The 21,744-nt window shown below is 40.4% G+C and overlaps 2 protein-coding genes across 17 annotated transcripts in view, besides 4 other annotated features; one reads left to right on the top strand and one right to left on the bottom strand.

Moving 5' to 3' along the window:
* Positions 1 to 2,803, bottom strand: part of ASB7 (ankyrin repeat and SOCS box containing 7) — a 49,113-nt gene extending 46,310 nt beyond the window's left edge. For both annotated transcript variants that reach the window (NM_198243.3, NM_024708.4), the window contains exons 1-2: positions 2,346 to 2,803; positions 2,079 to 2,177 (exon numbers count right to left, since the gene is read on the bottom strand). The gene's annotated coding sequence lies outside the window, so the exon portion shown is untranslated. The remainder of the gene's footprint in view (positions 1 to 2,078; positions 2,178 to 2,345) is intronic.
* Positions 2,021 to 2,070: a silencer, noted in NCBI's record as "silent region_6878". NCBI's record gives its function as "represses an Ori minimal core promoter by ATAC-STARR-seq in GM12878 lymphoblastoid cells {active_cell/tissue: GM12878}" and the evidence as "EXISTENCE:reporter gene assay evidence [ECO:0000049][PMID:35858748]".
* Positions 2,521 to 2,780: a silencer, noted in NCBI's record as "silent region_6877". NCBI's record gives its function as "represses an Ori minimal core promoter by ATAC-STARR-seq in GM12878 lymphoblastoid cells {active_cell/tissue: GM12878}" and the evidence as "EXISTENCE:reporter gene assay evidence [ECO:0000049][PMID:35858748]".
* Positions 2,951 to 3,290: an enhancer, noted in NCBI's record as "active region_10170". NCBI's record gives its function as "activates an Ori minimal core promoter by ATAC-STARR-seq in GM12878 lymphoblastoid cells {active_cell/tissue: GM12878}" and the evidence as "EXISTENCE:reporter gene assay evidence [ECO:0000049][PMID:35858748]".
* The window catches only part of LINS1 (lines homolog 1), a 35,261-nt gene continuing 16,724 nt past the window's right edge, over positions 3,208 to 21,744 (top strand). For 9 of the 15 annotated variants that reach the window (XR_007064471.1, NR_148018.2, NR_148017.2 and 6 more), the window contains exon 1: positions 3,208 to 3,271. The gene's annotated coding sequence lies outside the window, so the exon portion shown is untranslated. Of the gene's footprint in view, positions 3,276 to 18,215; positions 19,169 to 21,744 lie in introns of those variants that run through there. The other 6 variants (NR_148019.2, XM_047432784.1, XM_005254941.3 and 3 more) reach the window with 2 other exon arrangements.
* Positions 16,442 to 16,642: a silencer, noted in NCBI's record as "peak2454 fragment used in MPRA reporter construct". NCBI's record gives its function as "represses an SCP1 promoter by STARR-seq MPRAs in K562 erythroleukemia cells {active_cell/tissue: K562}" and the evidence as "EXISTENCE:reporter gene assay evidence [ECO:0000049][PMID:32103011]".

Below are 21,744 nucleotides of genomic sequence, written 5' to 3'. Positions count from 1 at the left end.
TAAATCTATATTTGGTGACGAAATAAATTGGATTTTTTTTAAGCCACATGATTGGCAATAGAATTAATACAAAGCTAACTGCCAGGTTAAAAAATGTAAGCTACCTAACTAGCCATGTTGGTAAATAAATACCCAAATTAAATATTCTAAATGCCTGGTATAATCTAGACCAAATACTCTCAGTCATTCTGATATTAGAAACATGACAGATGTTGACAATTTACACATATTCCCTAATCTTAGAAAAACTATTAAAAAATGAGATGATCCATGAAATACGATTTAAGCAATGAGAATGAACTGGCTGAGAGCCAGAGTAAAGACTTATCCTCTCTTACCTTATGTGCTGGACTAGCCACAGACTCCTTCCCTTTACCATCTCAGGTGAAACTACTCTTTAGAAATGAAAGCGTCCTAGAGTTACATGTAAAGCTGAAAAAATATTTAACTGAGAGGCTTGAATACAAAACACAGTACTTCATTTTGATCTTTAGAACATACTTCAAATATTTTAGCATTTTTTAAAAGTTCTGAAGTAATCATTAGGCCATCTCCCTGACAACTTCCATACTTACATAATAAAAATTAGCCTTTAAAGATTTCCGGGTAGCTTTTACTGAAATGATGTAGTCTAGTACTCCTGATTCCCTACATATACATACAAAAGCTGCCCTAAGTTTTCAACAGGGAACAGTCATTGGTAGATACTGATTCTAAATCCTATTCCCTAGAATCTCTTCTTTTGGCATGCAGTTCCATGTCTCAAGAATATGCATACCTCAGATCCCCTTAAAAGCTATGTCTTTATCTCTTTAGCTATGTCTTAAGAATTAACAGAATCAGTAAAGATACTAATTTCTTTTTGTGGAGGGCAGAAAGTCCAGTGGAACATAGGAAATCAAAAATATTAACTTCTGCTATTTTAAGCACTTCCTTGTAACAAAAATTCCCTAAACAATTTGGGATATTAAAATAACTCAGATTAACAAGTCACTTTATACTTTTGCTACTGGATGTTAAAAAAGTCATCCATTTGGCTAATTTTGGAATTAAACCTTGTATAATTTCCATGCTTATATCCCCCCTTTAGGAATTACACTAATGTCCTAAGTTTACTTTCAGAGCATTTTCAGAAGCAGCAACAAAATATGGCAGCAGAAATGTGATCACATGAATTAGATGCTTAAATTTCAATCCAGCAAACTCTACGTAAAAGTTTTAAAATGAGAAATCTTTTTTATAGAGTGCTAAAATTAAGACCCAGATATGTAAACACACCAAAAGGTTCCTTTGTTTTTAAATTCCTGAGTCAAACGATTAATAAGATATTGTGCAAATTTTTAAAAGTTCTCCTAGAAAATCTGAGGTGTAAGAAACATTGTATCTTTATAAGTTTCAAAGCCCATCCACATTTGTCACACACAAACACACAGAAAGCCCAAAGAGTTAATTATGCCTAAGTGCTTCAGGGTAATAATGTTGTCTTCATACCATTCACACTCTTAAGGTACACAGGTTGGCTTTCTAGTAGGAAATAAAATCAAACTATTTTCTGAAACTCATAAATCTCAGGCCAATAATTTACCTTTCTCTACCAAATCGTTGTCAGTTAGATAACTCAAAAGATTTTTCTGATGCAGGTAGAAGAAAGGTGATAGGAAAGAGTAAGGGGGAAAACAGTAAATTGTGGTTTAATTAAAAAGGAAAGTCATTCAGAATTAACAAGCAATTAACAAGGAATTGAGGAATTCCTATGAGAGTAAGGAAGGGAGGGTAGCTACAAAAAGGTCTCAAAGCCTCAGAGCAGAGTAAATGGCACAGTGTACCAAAAGATAATGAAAAACACAGAAACACACTGTACAGAAAGAAAGTGGGAAAATACTGTCCTGGGTAGAGAAGTTATAAAATGTTAAGTATCAGGCACGGGTAATGTTTTTGTTTTTCCTGGGAAACTGGGGGTGGGGGTGGGGGGGGTAGGAAAGGTTGCATTCCCAGGCAACCACCCTGAAAATAAACCACTGCTTAATGAGGTAGGGGCCAGGAATAAACAACGGGGGAGGGGAGGGCTGGCTCATTACCTTTACAGACGATGCTGGTCAGAGGCACTGTGCCTTCTGCTTCTCTGATAGGTGGGCAGACCTCTTCCTGCTTTCGCGTCTTCTTCAGCCAGCTCAAACCTAGAAAAACAGAAACCAGTGAGTGGTGTAGTGTCTCAGAGGTGGGGAGGGGGGAGCTCAGGAAAGGGGCTGGAGAGTGGCAAGGGCAGGCAAGAAAAAGCAGAGATTTTCCTCCCTCCTACCCTCCCAGCCAGCACTCTTCCCCTCGGGGGAAGTAAAGGACTTTACCTGTCTCCTCAGCTGCTGCTTCTCTTCCTCCTTTCAGCCTCCTCTACACTCACCAACTTCTCCATTGAAGAAATACCCCAGGCAGGGCCGGACCCTGGTGTTCCTGATCCTCCTCGGTGCCTCACGGCCCCAGCCCGGCGAACATCCGAACAGCCGAGAAGGCAGGAGGTGGCGATCCCGGCCGCCGGGCAGCCTTGGGGCAGAGGTGCAGGGAGGCAGGGAGGAAGTCCTGGCTCGGGTGGGGGGGCAGTCCCGGTCCAGGGCTCGGAGCAGGGGGCTGCCGCGCTCCGGGCCGGAGGCTTCCAGCTACGGAGGGACCCAGGAGGTCTCGGGACGGCGAGGTCCCAGGTCATACGGGGCCCGAAGTGCCAGCCGTGGGGTCTCCGGACAGGGGGCTTTCGGGATGCACTTTGCACTGGGCCACCCCCGCCCCCTCCCTTCAGCACTTTGGGGTCACTGGGATGGGACCAAGCCTTCAACAACCAATCAGCGCCCGCAGTGGAGCCTGAGCCTGGAGCCGTAAACCAGGTCCGGGATGGGTGGGGGTGGAGGGAGTAGGGACGACTTGGTTGGTTGGTTGCTTCCTTCTCTCCTCCTTACCCCCGGCAGCCCCCACCCTCTGCCTGCCGTAAAGTTGCCTTTGCATTCGCGACAGTTAAGGGAGGCGTGCCGAACGGGGCAGAGATTCGTCTCCGATTGGTCTCACTCACTTCCCCTTACAGCTTCCCCGTGGTGGCTTCCGAGGCTCCGCCCCTGGCGGAGGGACTCAAAGCCGTTGCTAAGAGACACTATTCGCCGAAGGCGGTCTCTGCGCATGCGGGAGGAGGTGCCAGCTTGTACTTTCTGTGAACTACGGTGGCCCAGAGCGGGCATTTGTGTTCCCTCAAATGGCGGTGTGAAGAGAGTTCGCCTGAGCCAGATCCCAGGCAGGTAACCGGGACCGGCCGCCGTGCTGGCAGCAGGGGAGGCACGAGTGCGGCCAAATGAGAGCCTGGTTCAGGGCTTAAGGTTGGGAGGGCGGCAGGCTCCAGGAAGCGAGTAGAGGGGTGCCTTGTTTCTCCGCCCCTGTTCAGCGCTTGTCAGACGCAAGTGCCCGGTCTTGGCGCGGCTGTCGGTCCTTGAGACCCCGTTAGCTTCCAGGCTGGCAATGCCTCGCCTGAAGTGGGAGAACGGACTCTCTTTGGGATAGCGATGACGATCCAAGGACCTTCCTGAAAGGATAGCAACGTTGGCGGGTTCCTGTGAATGAATGGAGAGGGGTCGTGGGGAAAACGCGAGATAGACTGATCAAGACACGTTTGTTAAGCACTTTATTCATTAGCAAGTGTTTACTGGCCACTGTTCTAGTCCCTGGGGAGACAACAGTGAACAAGATAGTGATTTCGGGGAAACAAACACAAAATTATCAGATAGGGATGGGTTATATGAGGAAAATCAAGCAGAATGGTGGAATCGATTTTGACCAGGACGTGATGGGCTGTATTAGATAGGTAGTGCTATGGTGTGAATATCTGTCCCCTTCAAAACTCATGTTGAAATTTAATCCCCAATGTGGCAGTACTGAGAGGTAGAGTCTTTAAGAGGTGGTTGGACCGTGAGGGTTCTGTCTTCACGAGTGGATTGATCTATTCATGGATTAATGGGTTATCACGGAGGTAGAACTGGTGGCTTTTTAAGGAGAGACTTGACAACTCGTGAGCCTGCTCAGCCCCCTGGCCACGTGATACTTTGCGGTGCTGTCTCGTGGTCCGTCAGTCTTAGACTTCCCAGCCTCCAAAACTAGACAATAAATTACTTTTCTTTATAAATTACCGAGTTTTAGGAATTATTTTATAAGCAACAGGAAACGGACTAAGACAGATAGGAAAGGTCTCTGAGGAAGTGACATTTGAGCAGGGATCTGAATGACAAAGAGCCAGCCATGCCAAGATCTAGGGAGAGAATTTTGCCAGCAGAGAGAATTAGAAATGCAAAGCCTCTGATGCTAGAATATGCTTTGCTGTTTACAGGAACTGCCAGAAAGAAGGCTAGGGTAGCTGAAGCAGAGTGGTAGGAAAATGACTGGTAATGAGACTGGGGAGTGGGGCATAGAGATGAGAAGACGCCGAGAGTCAGATCTTGAAGGGCCTTGGTAAGCCTTGTTTAGGAGTTTGGACTGTATCCTAAGGAAAGTGGATTGGTTTTTCAGAAGGAAGTGGGTGTAGGGTGGGCCTGGATACAACCACTTTGGAAGGGATCGGTTGCAGTTGTCCAGAGTAGAAGTGCAGTAGTGGCAGTGAAGATAGATTCAGCTTTTTAATTTTTGTCCCATTATACTTCCCAGCAATCATATTTCATAATTTCAACTTTCTAAATTTCCATTTCTTCTTGAAATTAGTAGCTGAATTATAATTAGAAACAACTTATTCAGGACTATTAAATGCTATCAATTTTTAGTAGCTTTCGGTCTTTCGATTCTACCATGATTTCTCCCTGTTTTTTTTTTTTTTTTTTTTGCTTAACAGCAGGACTCCAATGTAAACAAATAAAATAAAAGCGGTATTTTATTAGTATTGTTAAATGAAATGTATAGGAAGCCATTGTTTTAGATTAAACCCCTGCACTAGGCCCAACAGACCAGGCCAAATCAGAATGGAGTTGCTGGTGCTAGGTGTCACATAATCAAACAACTTAGAAATGGGCCAGTTGTCAAAAAATCCAGAAGATACACAGCAAGGAGTCAAGGAGGCCTGATTTACCTGAGCCAGCATGATAAAGAAGTCTCTCCTCCATTTGGTCTCTGTGAGGAAAGTTTAACTTTGAAATGACCAATCTGTCTTTTATTCTCTTTTTGCTTCTTCAACCGTTTTCAGCCCACCTCTGCTCAGCTAATCAGAACACCGTTTCTAAATTTTTAGTTGAGATGCTGCCAGATTCATAAATTGCTAATAAAAGCCATTTACATCTTTAAATTTGTTCAAATTTTGTTTGTTTTTGTTTTTGAGATGGAGTCTCCCTCTGTCGCCCAGGCTGGAGTACAGTGGTGCGAGCTTGGCTCACTGCAACCTCCGCCTCCCAGGTTCAAGCAGTTCTCCTGTCCCAGCCTCCTGAGTACCTGGGACTACAGACACACTCCACCACACCCAGCTAATTTTTGTATTTTTAGTGGAGATGGGGTTTTACCACGTTGGCCAGGCTGGTCTCGAACCTCTGACCTCAGGTGATCCACCCGCCTCGGCCTCCCAGAGTGCTGGGATTACAGGTGTGAGCCACTGCACCCAGCCTCAAATTTTGCTTTTTAACAGTTCAAATATAATGTACAAGTTCAGTTTTATAACATTTACTAATTATAGAGTCAAGAAGTTTTGAACTCCCAAAAAGAAGGAAAAAGAGGGAGAGAGAAATGAATAAATATGTAAATTGTTGTGGAGAACATATTCATTCTTATAGCAGACTCGGCACCCATGCAATTCATATGGTGTATTTGCTAAATGATAGTTAAGTAGAGAGATGGGGGCCTAAGAACTTGTTGGTGAAGAGCCTAGAAACAGAGTTGTCTCCTAATTCCTAGTTCTTTGTATTTCTGGCCATTTGTTTTTCATTAAAAATCCTGCCTTTGAGTTAAACAACCATTTTCAAATGATTGAAGTACATGATTATATCATAGCCAAGTAACATCATATTGTCAAAGTTTCACAGAATGTGCTACTAGGTAATTTTAAATTGCTTTATTGAATTGGTGCTATCAGATTTGCTAATTTTTATAACTTTTCAATGATGTAAAAGCAGTTTAGATTGCGGAATATTTATAACAAGTTAATATTGATTAGGTTTTAACAGATACACTTCATTTCCCATTAACTTAGTTAATAATATAAAACTCACAAAAATGGGAACATCTTACAACATATAAGTGAAATAATTTGGGATAAGTATTCATGAAGCTTGATTCATGAAACCCTGACTCAATCAGAATTGAGTTTATTTCTTGAGTAGAAAGAGACTTTGTCATTGGAAAAATGCCCCAGCACCACTGCAGCAATTCTGATTTAGCTGGTCTCTAGGGAGTCCAAGGCTCATGGGTTTTTCCTAATGTTCCAGTGATGTCAGTGTCAAGGTCAGATTCCAAGGTCAAGGACCACTGCCCAGGAGGCTGTGTCCTGGCCCATAAAGCACTTGGTGGTGGAGAGAATGAGCAGGTTATGCTCTAGTTGGCAGCAGGCAGTGTTCTGGGCCAGCAGGTTGTGTCTGGGGATCTTGGTGTAATAAAGAGGGCCACCATAAAGACAGATGCAGCACAGTTTGGAGCCCATCATTTGCCTTGTTAGCCCAACTTAGTTCAGCTGTACCTGGCAGAAAAGGCGATGGGGCTGGGTAGAGAAATTGTATTTCAGACCTTGGTCATCACAGCAAAAAGAACGCCGAAAGAAAGGAAGCTAACTGGAGGCTTTTGAGTTCCTTATAGTTCTTGCCCTGGTAATTTAAGGGATTTTGGTCTTCTATGGTATTCTACCACAGCCATTTTAAGATGGTGCTTCAGTGTGTGTTGCTTCTGTCAAGTACGTTGTCAGATGTGTCATACGGTAAAGACTGAATGAGCTCAGAACTTAATCCCTGCTATGGATACTACTGTTTATAATTCTTTGATACTACATTTTTATTATAATTTAAAATTCACAACTTAAAATATTACATGGTGTTTTTAAAGTTTTTTGAGATCAAAACGGTACTAAAATATACTTTGGGACTGATTTTAGGATTGTTACATATACACTACTAAATTAATCTTCAGCCAGGAATGTATTCCACAAATATAAGTACCTACTGTGTATCAAATGCTGTGCTAGGAGCTAGGGAAGAACCAAGCAGACAACTCTAAATCATAAAAATCATTGCACAAATCGTTAAAGTATAATTGTGACACATTCTGTAAGACAGGGCACCAGAGCTGGAAGACAGTATCACCGGAGGACCTACCCCTGCCAAAGAAAGTCATATTTAAGCCTAAAACAAAAGGGAAAGTGGGTGGAAGGAGAAGCATTGTATCAAGGCCCAGAGGCTGGAAGGAACCTTTCAAGGTTAATAAATAAAGACATATTGACATCTTCCTACTTGAGTTATACAGGTGTTTTCACATATAAGCCATTTAATTTTTGCAAATCTTTGAGTATGCTACTTGGCTGAGGTAGGTAGATAATCTCGTTTTATCAATTGAAAAATCAGATCTTGTCTGTGTACAGAATTTAGGAGTTCAGTAAAATCTAGACAGTATCACATCTATAGACAGTTCCTCAACGCTACCCTGCCACTGGTGGCGGGTTTGTGGGGGCAGATGGAAAAGGGACAAGGCATAGACTGGAAAAGGGGAAGACTAAGGAAAACCTTTCAGTGAAATATTTCATTCTGAAGTACCACTTAAAACATACAGTTATAATTTAGCAACTAAGTATAGAAAAGTATTCATATTGATACACTGGATAATTTCCATTTATTTTAAAAATGCTTAGCATTAGCATATAAAAACCTAAGGAGCTGAGATTCCTCATCAATAAATCAAGTAGATTGTGCAGTGGTTCTCAAAATGTAGTCCCTGGTTCAATTCTTGGGCCCTCCCAGACCCACTAAATCAGAATCTCCAAAGTGGGCCCAGCCATTTGTGTTCTAATAAGCCTTCCAGGTAATTCTGATGCTACGGTTTGAGAATTATCTCTAAATTATCTCTTGAGATTTTTTCTAGTATGAACACGTTATGATTCTAATGTCCAGCATTAATTTGTGCTATGTTTAAAAAAAAAAAAAAAGATTTGCCTTTGGAGTGGTCACATAATAGAGCTACTTGAGAAAGATACTGTTGCCAGTAGGCCAGGTCAGGTTCTTCGCTTCTCTGCACAAAAGAATTTGAAAGGGAGACCACAGTGAAAATGTAGAAGGTTTGTTGCAGAGTGAAAGCAAGTGCACACTCAAAAGAGGAGCCTGGATGTGCTCAAAAGAGGCGTGTAATGTGGTCAGGGCTCGCTACGCAGACAGGCATGATGAAGGCACAAATATTCTATGATGAAAGGAGAGGGTTTCCAGGAAATGGGTGGGCAGTTCCCAGAATCAGGGCGCCACCCTTTTCTTGACTAAATGTGGTTAATCTGGAACTGCCATAGCTTCAGGTACGTGGCAGGGAGTGGGCGGTTTCCCCAGGGAAGTTTTATGGTAATGGGGCATAATGCAGCCAAGAGTATGCATTCAGTCAAGTTTTTGGCCATCTTGGATTTAACCAATTGCAGCAGGCTTCCTCTGTTACATTCTTATCTGTGCCTGGTCCCCAGGTAGCCCTTTCCCATTGGCACAGCTGCCGGCATTCACCTATGCAAGCTTTTACTTGTGTATCTATGCTTGCAGCTTGATTTTTCAGGCCGCTTTTTGTTAGAAAAGAAATGATTTGGGGGCTGCTTTTTATTAAAAGGGAAACCTTGCCGAGGACTCTCTTACCCTCACTATCTGTCTAAATAATTTCTAGCTCCTGTATCATCAGGCTGTTACCAGTATATCACTTTGACAGAAAAATGCATTTAAGCATTAAGTCTTTTATCTATAACTTGATTGCCAGGCTTTTCCTTCATGCCAAAAAAATCTGGCCTGTTTCAGAGTCCTAAGACAAGAGTTTAATAGGAAGACAATTTACAAACACGTGACAGAGTTTGTATTCTCACTATCTCAGAAGTAACCTGGAAACTTGTTAGAAATACAAATTACTGGGCCCCACCCCAGAACTATCTTATGGGAAGCTCCTAGGATAGGGCCCTGCAGTCTGCTTTCATAAACCTGTCTAGTGCATGACACAGTTTGAGTACTATTGTTTTGAGGAAAAGGAAGGATGGTGTAGCACTCCAAGGCCAGTAACCGCCAGCACCCCCTTTAGCCCTGAAGGTAAAGAGAGCTGGCAGTTCCTGGAGCTTGAAAGTCCAGCCTGCCTTCCGCCCCTCCCACTCCAAATCTCCTGGAGTCTGTTGGGGCACAGAGGAGAGTGAAGAATGGAACTAAAGGGAAGATACTGGCACATGGCATGCTGTCGGAAGATATCTGCCCCACTTCTTTTAATAGGGGAGGGAGGTGCTCTTGTCTAACCAGACCCATTTTATTTTTTCTGTGAAAAGTGCAGTTTCGATTGGTGGAGGGAACCAGAATCCTGGAAGACAGCCTGGGTTTGGAGGCCTCAACTTCCGCGACAGTTGTCACTGCATCTTCATTAATGGAGCAAAATAGATTAAGTAGCCTCTTGGGCTGTGGTCAGATTTGAACCAACTGTTGTTGAATTAGGGGAAGGCCTACTATTGACTTTCCCAGTCTATTAGTCTATGTAGTAGCCACATCATATAAAGAAACTAGTAATTTTTTTTACTTCTAATATTGACCATGAAAATAGATTATTTTTGTATTCTGAATTCAAACATAGACATATCTTTTTAAAGATAACCACAAATTGTTTTCCAAAGAGGATGTGCCGTTTTTCATTCTCACCAGCAGTGTAGGAGAGATCTAGTTTCTCAGCATCCTCCCCAGCATTTGGAGTCATTTTTAGCTCTTCTAGTAGTGGTAGTTCACTGTAGTGTTAATTCATATTTCTGTAATGGCTAATATGGTTAAGCATCTTTCTGTGGGATTATTTGCCATCTTTATATCCTCTTTGGTGAAATGTCTGTGCATGTCTGATCCATTTTGTAATTGAATTTTTTTTTTTAATGTTGAGTTTTGGGAGTTCTTTATATATTCTAGGTACTAGTCATGTGCTTTGCAGATATTTTTCTTTAAGTCTGTAGCTTGTCTTCTCATCTTCTTAGGGTTTTTTTGCAGAGCAAGTTTTAAATTTTGCTGAGTTCCGGTTTATCAGTTTTTACATTTGTGGATCATGCTTTTATGGTCAAGTCTGAGAACCCTTTGACTAGCCTCAGATGCCTAAGATTTTTCCTACATTTTTTTTCTAAAAGTTTAAAGTTTACAGCCATGACCCATTTAGGGTTGACTTTTGTAAAAGGTTGGAGTTATTTTAGAGAAAGTAAAATCAAGGTCATAGTAACCCTTATTCACAGTGCCTTTAATGTGGATGAACTGTTGATGCCCGAGGAGGAACAGTGGATTGTTGATTTTTCATGAGGAGCTTGCCGGGTTTGGTATAGCCACTAAAAGTATAGTCAGCCCTCCATATCCACGGATTCCATTCCAGTAGGTTCTGCTCCCCTGGATTCAACCAACCCCAGATCAAAAATATTTAGGGAATTGGGGAAAAATTTTGGCTACAGGATGGGGTGCTGGCTGCCAGGGGGAACCAGCCCTATGCTCAGAGTTGGCACTGAACATGTATGGATTTTTTCTTCTTGTCATTATTTTCTAAACCATACAGTGTAACAAATATTTACATAGCATTTACAATGTACCGTGTCAAATATTTTAAGTAATCTTGAGATCATTTAAAATACCTAGGAGGATGTGTGTAGATTATATGCAAATACCACACCATTTTATATATGGGACTTGGGCATCTGTAGATTTTGGTATCCTTAGAGAGTCCTGGAACAAATCTCCCACGGATCCTGAGGGATAACTGCCCTTTGTTTTGTTCAGAAACTCACAATTCCAGAAAACCGTGTCACTGACAGCAGCACTGCCAACAACATTTGATCCCACAAGATTCGTGATCATTAACCAAAATCAAAGACCCCTGAAGGTCTGATTACCATGCTGGCCTGTTGATTCTGGGGCTTAAATGGAACTATAGTCGGCCCTCTGGATCCACGGGTTCCACATCCACAGATTCAACCAACCTCAGATAAAAAAATATTCAGAAAAAATAAAAAATAACAATACAATAATAAAAATAATACAAATCAAAACAATACAGTGTAACAACTATTTACACATCACTTACATTGTGTTAGGTATTATAAGTAATCTAGAGATGATTTAAAGTATATGGCAGGATGTGCACAGTTTATATGCAAATATTATGCCATTTTTTGCCAGGGAGTTGAGCATCCATGGATTTTGGTATCCTTGGTGGGTTTTGGAACCAATCCCCCACAGATACCGAGGGGTGACTATACAATTTTAAAAACTCAGTCAAATCGCTATCCTGATTAACATTTCAACCTGTAGTTGCTGAGTATCTTTTGAAAAAATTAATCTTAGTTTATATTGGGAAATTGCATAGTAATTGACCTTGATTTTAGATCTCGCGTAGCATGTGAAAATGTTTCTGAGCACTATTGTTTTACAGTGTGAACAGTTAAGCTGTAGGAGTTACTATTTAATTTGAAGTCCAATGTTGAACTCTTGTCCTGGGCTTTTGGAGCACCAATGGAAGTTTGAAGAGTGCTTTGGTGGAGTGGTGAAGGACACAGGCTCTGATATTAGATTTTCTGGCTTCACATCCTGACTCTGTCCCTGAAGCTCTGTGACATAACATCTCTCTTAGTTTTCTTATCTGTAAAATGGGTATGATAATTAAGCACCCCCCCCCCCCATAAAGTTGTAAAACTCACTTAGAGCAGTATCTGGTACATAGTAGGTACTCAATAAAGTTTAACGATTCGTATTCCTAACACAGCAATTTTATGTGAAGATGGGTGGGAAGTATGTTATTTTATATTAATAAACACATGGTTTTATTAGGCATATAATGCAAAATTCAAATAGTTTACAGAACTTAAAAAATAAACAGAGGCTTCAGATAGATTTTATACTTAATATGGGTAACCCTTAGGCCACTTGGTGTGGGATTTCAGCTCCTCTGCCAAGAGAAAACACTAAGAGAATCACTGCTCCTTCACTTACCTAGTAAGACTGCCCCAATTGTTTGTTTCCAGGCTAGAGAAATCGTTCATTTATCATATAGATGGCCTCAGAGCCTGTCAGCATCCTGTGCACCCTCCGTCAGACACTTGGGTTTGTTGGTGTCTCTTAAAAGCTTGTTGTCTGAAGAGTACACATTCCCCCAGGCCAGCATGATAATGCAGAATGAGATGTGCAAACCTCAGAGCATCCACTTCAGAAAAAATTGTGGTCAGTTAAATCCCCTAGTTTGTTTTCTTAAGGATTTGTCCTTTCCTTTAATACCACAATTGCTTTAAAAAACACATACAAACTACAGTTTTCAATTCCAATGGGCTACCCACGGACATTTATTTTAAAGACAGTGTAATTAAGAGGAGTTTATACTTGATCACAATAAAACAGCCTAGCACCTATTGTCGTCATTCATTCATTAGCTGCCTGGCCCCTTGGCATTTGTGACCTGTATTACTAAGATGAATATTTTTTGATTTCCATCTAAGATTACAGGCCCATCTCCTTTAAGCCTATTACTTCCTATGGGACTAGAACAATAAGTTGATCTTTTGTTAAAGTATATATATGGCCTTTTGTCCTGGGTTCCTGAAGCAGCTCAAGACAGCTTCAGAGCACTAAAGGTAAAAGGCAGTGTTTTGTTATTTATAATAAACACTTTTCACACACCCCAGGTTATGTTAATGAGGTGATTTTTTTGGACCACCTAGATGGCTACAGGATGGAGTGCTCACTGCAGGGAGGGAATCAGCCCTATGCTCAGAGTTGGAACTTTCAGCCCTACCCCCAGTCTCAGGAAGGGGAGAGGGACTCAAGGTTGAGTCTATCACCAAGGGCCAGTGATTTAATCAACCATGCCTAAGTAAAGAAGCCTCCGTAAAAATCCAAAAGTGTTATCAGTTGATGGGTGTCCAGGTTCTTGGCGTCTTGAACAAAGAAAGCACAAACGAAGCAAGGGAAGACACACAAAACATACAAACAAAGCAAAGAAAGAATGAAGCAACAAAAGCAGAGATTTATTGAAAATGAAAGTACACCCCACAGGGTGGGAGTGGGCCAAGCATAGGGGCTCAAGAGCCCCGTTACAGAATTTTCTGAGGTTTACATACCCTCTAGAGGTTTCCATTGATTACTTGGTGTATGCCCTATGTAAATGAAGAGGGTGAAGTAAAGTCACTTACTTAGTGTACACCCTATGTAAATGGAGAGGATGTTTCATAGATGAAGTGTTTCCATTTGATTTAGTTCTAGGAAGTCAGCGTGAATTAGCCTATGTCCCTGCCTCCAGACCCTATTCTGTCTCATTTCCCCCCAGAAAGATGTGATCCCCATAAATCTTTATGGAAGCAGAGGGACCAATGGTCTATCTTCTGTAACTGCTTCATGCTGGCTTGGGGCACAGTCCCTACCTATTGGGAATCATGGAACTCTCGCCCCTCTCTGTCTAGTGGAGGCAGGGTAGCTCCTTGATGGCCAGGGGTAGTGGCTGGAACCTTTGTTGCATGATCATCTGAAGCTTGATGGTTTCTAGGCGAGAGGAAATGAATTTGGTTAAAAGATTTAATGGGAACTTCAGGGAGTGGATACCTATGCTGCCAGGAATGTTTTCTAGAGATTTGCGGAAAAAAAACAAAACCTAGTCTGTTCTAGGATCTATGTGTTTCCTTAACGTCTTAATGCAAGCAACTCCATTTTGGTTTGGTTTGGTTTGGTCTGTTGGGGCCTAGTGCATGAGTTCAGTCCAAAACAATGGCCTTCCATAATTTTATTTTAAAAAATTCTCCCTTTTTGGTCACGTTCTCACTTAGGTGAGAGTGTGACCAAAACTTAGGGCCTTAGCACAACTCTCAGTTACCTTCATTTTGGGTTTCTGGTGTCAGTGCATGATTCATAGGTTATGGTGTCCTCATGTTCACACATTTCTTTCAGCTCTTGTCATTCCAGTTGAAGAGAGACCATTTGACATTCTAGAGATGGCTGCGTGCAACCATTTAAAACCTTTGAGAGAATACAGCACACAAGGGAAACTATTATTATTTTTTTTCCTATTTTATTTTTTGAGACAGAGTTTTGCTCTTTTCGCCCAGGCTGGAGTGCAATGGCATGATCTTGGCTCACTGCAACCTCTGCCTCCCGGGTTCAAGTGATTCTCCCACCTCAGCCTCCTGAGCAGCTGGGATTACAGGCATGTGCCACCATGCCTGGCTAATTTTGTATTTTTAGTAGAGACAGGGTTTATCATGTTGGCCAGGCTGGTCTCAAACTCCTGTCCTCAGGTGATCTGCCCGCCTCGGCCTCCCAAAGTGCTGGGATTAAAGGTATGAGCTACCATGCCTGGCCGAGACTATTGTTATGACTATTGGGAGGATAATACCAAGAGTTTGGAGTATGCTTCTTCCCTTAGGTTCCCATAAACCAAACCACCTAAAATCAAATAGATCAAAGAATGAGCTAGATAAAGAGCCTACTCATTTAACCAAGCAATCTCTTTGTTAATCCCCTACGATGAATCTCTATACTTTTCATTTGATGTATTTCTCCATAGGCCACAAGTGCCAGCAGCTGCACAGATACTTCTCTGTTCAGCCAATTCTATCATAACTTTAACAAGAGAATTTTAAGTCTGTTACATAACTGTAGCCTTTAGAGAAGAATCTGTTATACAGCCTATCATGAGGGAAACATTTCTAATCATTGCTTCTTTTGCAATGGAAAAGGGCCATGGAAAAAGGACCTAACAAATGATGCCCTTCTAGAAGATTGAAGGCCTCCTAGCAATGTTCTCTTTAACTTGGGATATGGGTTAAGAGGAGTGAACCAATGTTCTGTTTCTGACTGATGATGAGGCAATGTGTGTACCATTAAAATTTCTCACCTGCATTGGACCTTCATCTTTTATCTGTCAAAGTATAAGGTTATTCATATACGAGGCTGGCTGCAAAATCCTTCACAAATAAAAGTGTACCCCATAAGTGCATACAACAGACCCCCTTTTCATTTCTATTGTTCTTGGACGCATAAACAAAAAATATTCAAAGATAAGACTCTCATAATAGTAGAAGTCTTGATCTGTGATCTTGGGAAAAGCTGTTCACATCAAGGATGCCATGTTCTTCTGGGGAGCGACTTCCTTGGTTAGCTTTACCTTAAGGGTTCCTATGGGTGTACAGTTCCAAGAGTGTGGAGGGACCCTCCTCAGTTGTGAGATTATGAACCCAAAGTTCAGGGTTCCAAAGTTTTGCTGCAATGTGGATGGCAAGGACAATCTTTCTCCAATGTTCTCAGAAGATCTAATCTTTAGGCTCTAGATTTGTGAAGGGGTTGATTGTCCTCAGCAAACCATAAAAAGCTTTCTGTACCTAGTGAAAATACACTGTGGCGTAATGACTTAGTTTTATAACATGAGCCCTCTTGCATGGGAGAGCTTTTATATAACCAGAAAACATGCATTGAAAATAATAATTGAATAAAATCCCTTAAATGGCCCATCAGGTGACCAAATGTACCTGAAGCTTTGATTATTTTCCCAGGAATATGGGCCCAAACATTGGCTATAAAGTATTTCAGTAATTTATAAGCCACCACACCAATATATTCAATTTGGATCATTTTATCTTTTCTATGATGAGTCATGGAATGCAGAACTTTCAATAATAAAAGCTTTAAGGACTCAGAAAGGACAAGGTGACCAACCTGGTCCTCCATGAGTCCATGCTTAATTAATATTAGACTTATATCCTCTTGAATACCAGTTGTTTCTCCACATTAGGTGCATAGCACTGGTAACTGATGGGTTATCATAGGTAAATTGACTTAGATCGTGGAGTTCATTCAAAATATGTATCTAAAACAATTTCAGTATCAGCTGATTTAACATGAAAATCTGACAAAAAGTATTTTCTTGGTACTTAATTCTTGTTCTACTTGGGTTAGCAGCTTTATACAAGGAAATTTGGTTATTTCTGTGGTTTAACCCTTTAAATTAGGCAAAAATGTACATTCCCATGCTTTCTTATAGTCTTTTACCAACAACACCTTTCACTTTTCTTACACACCTTGCATGTAAAACTGTTTCTTCAGTAGTCTCAGTTACATGTTACAATGTTAACTCTTAGCAACTTTTACTTTTGGTGAAAACCTTGATAAGTTTGGGGTTTTAATTAAGTACTAGATGTGGAGAAGCCTAGAACCCAGAAAGAAATGCAGATAAAGTCTGACTTTTTCTAGCATCTAACTCCATGTGTCCCGGGCCCTACCTAGCTGTAAAACAGGCAAATTGTACAGTTAAGAGTCACAGTGGCATTTACAAAGCATTTAGGAGGCCTAATCACCTTTAAATTGTACAACATTTCTTGCATAAATTCTTTTTCATAAATTATTTCATGACTTACACAGACCATCTATCACATGCTTGGACTTTCTGACTTGTCCTAAACACCCCTCTTTTAAACAAGCAGTTATTTTACTTTAGGACAAGAATTTATCATACAAGATCCTTTCTTATATAAAACCTTGTTTGCATAGCTAGAGGGCATGGCTAATTTCACATGTCCCCAAGACTTATCTAGAATCTAATGCTCCAGAATAAATTAAGCAATTTTTAAAAGTCAAAGAAGCAGTTTGTGACCTTAAAGCATTTAGTCAACATAATATCTGACCTGCATAATTTAGACCAAATGTTTACATTTGTGAAGATATTTTTATTTTACCAATAATCTTTAAAAACTGTCTTTATTTCTCAGATTACTTAAGTCACATGAACTAAATGAAAGGCATTACACTTTTTACTTTTCTGACAAAATATTTGATTTAAGCTCTTATTATTAACCAGTTAATTAAAACTCTTTTATATTATACACACAACACATATAAATACACAGAAGATAAAGGATTCATTCCCTGAGCCAGGAATTGAACCCTAAACCCAGGCCACCATTGTGAAAAGAGAAAGTACAGCCACATAGTTACAAGGTCAAGCTCCCAAGGACATGACTGACCAATTGGCTGGGCCATCTTGAATAGTGGGCTTTTGGGGCCCTACACACGCTTTTTATCCTAGGGTACCCCTCTTTATGACAGAAAAATACAGGAAGACACACAGAGCACACCAGATTCACTACAGCTTAAGACCAGCCTCAGAATTCCTTTTGTATTAATTAAAACTTTATAGAGGAGATAAACAGTGACATTTACCTTTCATTTAACCATTTGGCACAAATTGAGAGAGGCCAGTGTCTGACTACTAAGAAATTCTTGCCCTTTTGCCGGCATGCCAGATTTCTGGGCTCTTTCTCCCTGACCAGCCCTGGTGACCCTAGTCAACTGTAATGCAAACAAACACATTCCCATGAATTAAGAATATTCACAAATAGCTTCAAATTTTGGAGAAATTAGGCAGAGTGAGAATTACTACTCAAATTCTATTTACAAAAGTATAATCAAGACACTTAAAGTATCAGGAAGCCTAAACTCCAAAGAAGTTAGTTTAAGATTAAAAAGCTGGTGTGCTCCATTAATTCCTGCAGGCCCAACAAAGGTAGCCTAGGAATTCTGGATAAATGGGACAAATGATGACTTTCTAAAAACACATAGGAAACAGAATATCCACAGAACCAAATAAAAGCCTTCCACTTAGGAACTTAAAAAAATCATGGTTTTATATATATGCATACACGAGCAAAGCCCAGAGGAGAATAAACAGCAAATGAATGAAAACTGGAAGCACAAACAAACAGAAAACCAACCCTAAATTTTCCCACTGAGTCTATCCTGGAGGCTACAGTGTTACCCAGGGCCCCAAAAAACCCACATAATGAATATTTTATTACTATTACACAATTCAGTTTCCTTAAGTTCACCAATATCATTATACATCCTGTGCAATCAAGAAATTCACTCTAGGCACATGACCTATATAAGTACTTCAGTGCCGGCACTATCCATGCAAAACAGTAGACATAGTGTGAAGCAATGCAAGCATGTATGTGAAATTTGGCTCCACACTAAATCCGGCTTCAGGCTTAACTATATTAAAGAATTGCCAAACTGCTAATGTTTTTTTTTTTTTTTTTTTTTTTTTAAGACAGAGTCTCCCTCTATTGCCAGGCTGGAGTACAGTGGTGTGATCTTGGCTCACTGCAACCTCTGCCTCCTGGGCTCAAGCGATTCTGCTGCCTCAGCCTCCCAAGTGGCTGGGAGTACAGGCGCAGGCCACCATGCCCAGCTAATTTTTGTATTTTTAGTAGAGACAGGGTTTTACCATTTTGGCCAGGATGGTCTCGATCTCCTGACCTCGTGATCTGCCCGCCTTGGCTCCCAAGTTGCTGGGATTACAGGCATGAGCCACCGCACCCGGCCACATTTCTTTACAATACTTACTTTATTTTAATCAAGACTAAGAGCTTTAACTGAAAACATTAATTAGCCAAATGTCTCCAATTCTCTGTCAGGTTTTAAATAATATTTTATTATATAAATTTTTTCCACATGTTTATCCGCTACTTACTGGTTTCTTACTATGGTATTTCATAAATAACCTTTTCAAATCTGTATCTGAACTAACTTTTAGATAACTTCTGAATTAGACAAAATTATTATTTTTCTCACTAGTAATATAAACTTTTTGGCACATTTTGTTTACAGAATTATGTGTTAACTAGAATTCTTAGTAACCTAAAACTTGTGTGAAACCCCAAAAAGCAAGAAATCCTGAACCATAAGATGTGGGCATTTATAAATAAGAACAGTTCCACAATTTAGAAACATACTTCCCCATATCACAATCCTTTCTTTATTGGAAATGACCCAGATATTAAATGAGCATCAAAAATAGCTCAAAGCATTTAATTTACACAAAAAGTTTACTTAAAACACTTATCCCATTCACTGTGCTCTGTTCTTTCAGTTTTAACAAGGGAGGCATGAGACATCAATCAAGATATGTAAAATGAACATTGGTTCAGTCCAGAAAGGTGGGACAACTCTTAAGCTGGGAGGGGGCTTCCAGGTCACAGGTAGGTGAGAGACAAACAGTTGCATTCTCTTGAGTTTCTGATTAGCCTTTCTAAAGGAGGCAGTCAGATATGCATTTATCTTAATGAGCAGAAGGATGACTTTGAATAAAATGGGACACAGATTTGCCCTAAGCAGTTCCCAGCTTGAATTTTCCCTTGAGCTTAGTGATTTTGGGGGCCCAAGATATTTTCCTTTCACAGATTTCTCTGATTTGTCAAAAAAACAAGGCATGCAAACCAAGATCATTTTGTTTTGGCTGGGTTTATAGTTTAATAATCTTCTATGCCAAACACTGACATCCCAAAATATCTAGCAAAGACAAACATAAAACCAGACAAAAAATGTATGCTGACGGTTCTGAAGGCACTTCTGTTTTTATTTTACCAATAAGTTTAAAGCCAGCTTATTTAGTAAAGTTATACTTAAGTCATGTGAACTTAAAAATTGCTTAGACTTAGTTAATGTATGAGCACTCTTATAAGTCAGTTCAGTAAACACAACATATAACAATAAGTGTACATACAAATAAACACGTCTAGACATGTACATGTACACATACACGAACGAAGATCCAATAGCTTGGAACCCTAGCCATGAGATAGCAATACAAGCTCGCCAGTTTTACTTTGTTTGCCGCAATAGATAATCCAGTGAAGGCTGTGAACCAAAATTTCGAGTAAAACATTTTCCACGGCAGTTTGATTTTTAAAGGCCAAACCTCCCCAGACTCCAAAGGACACTGGGTCCAAACAGTTCCAAACGAGAGCATCACATGTTAACCAGGCCCCCTGCTCAGAACAGCAGCACAAAAGCCTGGATGCATGCAACACCATCCCACTTTCCCATTCAACAGCAAACTCCAGATTCCAAACAATATTGGGGCCAAACAGCATTGCAACTGCGAGAGAAGGTTCTAAGAAGAGTTTAGGACTAGACCTCAGAACCTCTGCCAAGGGCATCCCCTTTGTAGAGACTGAGGTCCAGAGGATCCCCCTGGGGTGTTCCCCTTTGGAGTCCAATCTTAGAGTGTCAGACGTCTCTGACCTTAGGTGGTCACTGGTGCTGTTTTGCATACTTTTCTTCCAGAGGCGATGGCTTACTGTGAGCTTTCCTTTGGTACCTGGGTGTAATCCCCAACTTTTAACATCCATATAATTTGATAATGCCATGCTTTCCCGTGCTTCTCATTCCACTAGAGTGACAGCCATGAACTGTAATGACAGGATTTGGAGCCTGGGTGGGCTTCTTTTGTCCTTAGCCAGTCGAGTAGGGGAAAGGAAGAATTTATGCTTATGTTTTCCTGATTTCTGTGAGCTGCTGTAACATATTAATCAAACCCAAAGGGGAAGTCGGGGCAACTCCAATTTAGAGCCAGTTGATCAGAAGCACAGGTGGAACATCCTGGGGCTTGCAGTTGGCATTTGAATTGTGGCTCAGTCTTCAGTCTGTGTGATCTGATGGTATCCCCAGGTAGATAATGTAGAATTGAATTGGAGGACGCCCAGGTCATGGTCTATGCAGAGTTGCTTTGCTTGCTTGCTGGCTGGTGGGGAGAAATCCTCACATATCTATGGTCAGAAGCATGTTGTAAGAGGATAGTGGAAGAAACAGTTTATTTCTTCCTCTCATAACCCCAATACTTTTTTTTTTTCCTCTGTCTCTAAAGGCTGATTTTGAATCTGTATTTCTTAAAGTTTAAAACCTTTCAGTCTAATTTCTCACAATCACTCTTACCAAAGAACCTGGGTCCCACCATGAGAGAAAACAGCCCATCTACTCCCTGGAATATTTATTTACTGGCATTCACTTTGGTTGGTGTGCTAAAATGATTGAGCCATATGAAATTGCCCTTTTTATGGGTTGAAACTAGGTCAGATAGCAATTTCATTTTCATTTTGGTAAAATTTAAGGACTTAGTGACCCATAGGAATATTATTGGAAGTATTTTTATTGCTATAGCATTTAAATAAAAGTAATTCCATTTGTTGCTGAAATTTTTACTAAAAGAGTTGAGCATGTGATAGTAATTAAAACAAAATATTCTGTTTTATAGTGACAGTAGTTAGAAAAGAAATGTTATAACTAAAATATAAAGTAAGTGCAATGGAATTAGACTTTGAGATGGAACATGAAGACTAATTTCTGATGTGTGACAGACAATATATCAGGCAATTAAGGAGATTTTGTTCAGGCAGTTGCAATAGGGATAATAAATAAAAATAATTCCATTTGTTGCTGAAATTTTTACTGAAAGAGTTGAACATGTGATAGTAATTAAAACAAAATATTCTGTCTTATAGTGTCAGTAGTTTGAAAAGAAATGTTATTATAACTAAAATATAAAGTAAGTGCAATGGAATTAGACTTTGAGGTGGAACATGAAGACTAATTTCTGATGTGTGACAGACAATATATCAGGCAATTAAGGAGATTATTTTGTTCAGGCAGTTGCAATAGGGAGAGTGTTCATAATGGGAAACCTCTTGAAGAGGAAGGAGAAAAGGTAGGGATTAATAAAACAAGGGAGTCACTGAGGAAGGGTAGAAGTAGGTCCTATTTGGGAATTGTAGACAGT

This window comes from Homo sapiens, chromosome 15 (genome assembly GCF_000001405.40).
Source record: "Homo sapiens chromosome 15, GRCh38.p14 Primary Assembly".
Classification (NCBI taxonomy): Eukaryota; Metazoa; Chordata; class Mammalia; order Primates; family Hominidae; genus Homo; species Homo sapiens.
This window is presented reverse-complemented; position numbering and strand designations above follow the sequence as displayed.